The sequence below is a fragment of the Homo sapiens genome, chromosome 15 (assembly GCF_000001405.40).
Source record: "Homo sapiens chromosome 15, GRCh38.p14 Primary Assembly".
NCBI classification, from domain to species: Eukaryota; Metazoa; Chordata; class Mammalia; order Primates; family Hominidae; genus Homo; species Homo sapiens.
In genome coordinates, this window is record NC_000015.10 from 22218240 (window position 1) to 22222232 (window position 3993).

Consider the following 3993-nt stretch of genomic DNA (forward strand, 5'->3'; position numbering starts at 1 on the left):
TTTGAGACCAGCATGACCAACATGGAGAAACCCCATCTCTACTAAAGATACAAAAAAATTAGCAGGGCATGGTGGTACATGCCCGTAATCCCAGCTACTCAGGAGGCTGAGGCAGGAGAATCGCTTCAACTCGGGAGGCAGAGGTTGCAGTGAGCTGAGATTGCGCCACTGCATTCCAGCCTGGGTGACAGAGCAAGACTCCGTCTAAAAAAAAAAAAAAAAAGTTTAGAAAACAATATACATAATATGAATTTTTTTTCCTAAGACAGAATTTCGCTTGTTGCCCAGGCTGGAGTGCAGTGGTGCAATCTTGGCTCACCGCAATCTCCGCCGCCCAGATTCAAGCGTTTCTCCTGCCTCAGCCTCCCGAGTAGCTGGGATTACAGGCATGCACCACCATGCCTGGCTAATTTCTGTATTTTAGTAGAGACGGGGTTTTACCACATTGGCCAGGTTGGTCTCGAACTCCTGACCTCAGGTGATCCCCCTGCCTGGGCCTCTCAAAGTGCTGGGATGACAGGCGTGAGCCATTGTGCCTGGCCATGAATCCAGTTTTGATACAATTTTGAGAAACACAAATGTCTATATACAGACATACACAGGTATATCTATTATCCATGCATGCGTGCCTACACACACTCACAAATGTGTGTGTGCATGTGTGTATACTTATACATTTTGGTGATATTTGGTGATATTCTTCTAGCCCCATATAGGACTGCAGGAACATAACCAAATCTTTTTTTTTTTTTTTTTTGAGATGGAGTCTTGCCCTGTCACCCAGGCTGGAGTGCAGTGGCACAATCTTGGCTCACTGCAACCTCCACATCCCAGGTTCACGCCATTCTCCTGCCTCAGCTTCCTGAGTAGCTGGGACTACAGGTGCCTGCCACCACGCCCGGCTAAATTTTTGTATTTTTAGTAGAGACAGAGTTTCACTGCGTTAGCCAGGATGGTCTCCATCTCCTGACCTCGTGATCCGCCCGCCTCGGCCTCCCAAAGTGCTGGGATTACAGGCTTGAGCCACTGCACCCGGACAACCAAATCTTAACAATGCTTATCTCAGGGCCGGGTGCAGTGGCTCACACCTGTCATCTCAGCACTTTGGGAGACCGAGGCAGGCGTATCACCTAGGTCAGGAGTTCGAGACCAGCCTGGCCAACATGGGGAAACCTCGTCTCTACTAAAAATATGAAATATTAGCTGGGCGTGGTGGTTGGTGCCTGTAATCCCAGCTACTCGGGAGGCTGAGGCAGGAGAATCGCTTGAACCCAGGAGGCAGAGGTTGCAGTGAGCCAAGGTTGTGCCATTGCACTCTGGCCTGGGCAATAAGAGCAAAACTCTGTCTCAAAAAAACAAAACAAAACAAAAAGAAAAACAAACTTGCAAACCTATTATAAAACAGCCACCCCCTGGCTGGGCACAGGGGCTCACGCCTGTCATCACAGCACTTTGGGAGGCCAAGGCGGGTGGATCACCTGAGTTCGGGAGTTTGAGACCAGCCTGGCCAGCATGGAGAAACCCCCATCTCTACTAAGAATACAAAATTAGCCAGGCGTGGTGGCAGGTGTCTGTAATCCCAGCTACTTGGGAGGCTGAGGCAGGAGAATCACTTGAACCCAGAAGGCAGAGGCTGCAGTGAGCCGAGATCTTGCCATCGCACTCCGGCCTGGGCAACAAGAGCAAAAGTCTGTCTCAAAAAAAAAAAAAAAAAGAAAAAAAGAAAAACAAATTTTCAAACCTGTTATAAAACAGCCACCCCCTTGGCCTGACGTCATGCCTCACGCCTGTCATCCCAGCACTTTGGGAGGCTGATGCAGGCCTTGAACTCAGGATTTTGAGACCAGCCTGGCCAACGTGGTAAAACCCTGTCTCTACCAAAAATACAAAAGTTAGCCAGGTGTGGTGGTGCATGTTTGTAATCCGAGCTAGCTGGAAGGCTGGGGTGGAAGGATGACTTGAACCTGGGATGCAGAGTTTGCAGTGAGCTGAGATCACGCCACTACACTCCAGCCTGGGTGAGCGAGTGAGACTCTGTCTCAAAAAAACAAACAACGGTCACTCCCAACCAACTCACATTAAACCGTTCTCTCAAGGGCTATGGATAAACAGTTCGAATTTTAAGAACACAGGCTGCCATGAGACATTTTAAATTTTTTTTGTCAGCAGAGGGTAGAAAGTTACAAAACTCAATGACAGGAAATTGCAAATTTCTAAGATTATAGTAGGCAAAATATCAACGTAATCTTTTTTTTTTTTTTTTTTTTTGAGATGGAGTCTCACTGTCTCCCAGGCTGGAGTGCAGTGGCGCAATCTCAGCTCACTGCAAGCTCCACCTCCTGGGTTCACAACACTCTCCTGCCTCAGCCTCCCGAGTAGCTGGGACTACAGATGCCCGCCACTACGCCAGGCTAATTTTTTTGTATTTTTAGTAGAGACGGGGTTTCACCGTATTAGCCAGGATGGTCTCGATCTCCTGACCTTGTGGTCCGCCTGCCTCGGCCTCCCAAAGTGCTGGGATTACAGACTTGAGCCACTATGCCCGGCCTTTTTTTTTTTTTTTTAAACACTTGTGAAGGTACACAGGTAAATAATCAGATTTTTTTTTTTTTTTTTTGAGACGGAGTCTCGCTCTGTCACCCAGGCTGGAATACAACGGCATCGTCTCAGCTCACTGCAACCTCTGCCTCCTGGGTTCAAGCAATTCTCCCACCTCAGCCTCCAGAACAGCTGGGATTACAGCCATGGGCCACCACGCCTGGCTAATTTTTTGTATTTTTAGTAGATATAGGTTCTCACTATGTTGGCCAGGCTGGTCTCGAATTCCTGACCTCAGGTGATCCGCCTGCCTTGGCCTCCCAAAGTGCTGGGATGACAGGCATGAGCCACCGTGCCCAGCGTAGATTTATTGGATTCTAAAATGCACAATTCTCTATGTTTCGGTGTTTCTGAAACCAAGGTCATCTCACCATCCACAGGAATCTTTAATAGTTTTTCTTTTTTTCCCCAACAGTTATTACATCACTGATGCATCTTAAAAGTCACTGGTATTTGAAAGTCAAGAAAACAGGAAACTCTCAAAACCAAGTTCTGAAAGCCACAGGGTGTTTCTGCTAAGCTGGCTGCGGCCTCCTGTGTATTTCGAATACCAGCCACAGTGTGGCGGCCACATCTCACCCAGGCAGGCCTCCATAACAGCTTCAGTACCAACTGAGTGGCGAAGTTACATATAAAAACCTGAAAGAGGCCGGGCACGGTGGCTCATGCCTGTCATCCCAGCACTCTGGGAGGCGAGGCGGGGGATCACGAGGTCAGGAGATCGAGACCATCCTGGCTAACATGGTGAAACCCTGTCTCTACTACTAAAAATACAAAAAATTAGCCAGGCGTGGTGGTGGGCACCTGTAGTCCCAGCTACTCGCGAGGCTGAGGCAGGAGAATGGCGTGAACCCGGGAGGCGGAGGTTGCACTGAGCCGAGATTGCGCCACTGCACTCCAGCCTGGGTGACAGAGTGAGACTCTGTCTCAAAAAAAATTAAAAAACAAACCTGAAAGAGCCAGTGTCCTTATACGAAGGCTGGAATGTAACAAAGACCCACCAAGAGTTTTGCCCAGGCCTTTCCTGGGCCTTGAAAATATGACAACGAAGGAATTCCTAACAGGACCTGTTTGGGTTTACGTAGTTTTACTGGGGATCTGAAAAACTCCCCTTATCTCGGGTAATCACCACAGCACCTGGACCCACCTACATTAAGTCAATTTACTGAGGCTCCAGAGAAAGGTCTTCAGGACTCAGACCTTTGTTATAGATTAGAAGAAGTTAATGCCTTTTTTCTTTTTTCTGAGGCCGAATCTCACTCTGTTGCCCAGGCTGGAGTACAGTGGCACCATCTCAGCTCACTGCAACCTCCATCTCCTGGGTTCAAGCAATTCTCCTGCCTCAGCCTCCTGAGTAGCTGGGACTACAGGTGCCCACGACCACACCTGGCTAAT

The 3993-nt window shown here is 48.6% G+C and overlaps 1 annotated feature.

Annotated features, from left to right (window-relative positions):
• Positions 3070–3239: a silencer, noted in NCBI's record as "silent region_6255". NCBI's record gives its function as "represses an Ori minimal core promoter by ATAC-STARR-seq in GM12878 lymphoblastoid cells {active_cell/tissue: GM12878}" and the evidence as "EXISTENCE:reporter gene assay evidence [ECO:0000049][PMID:35858748]".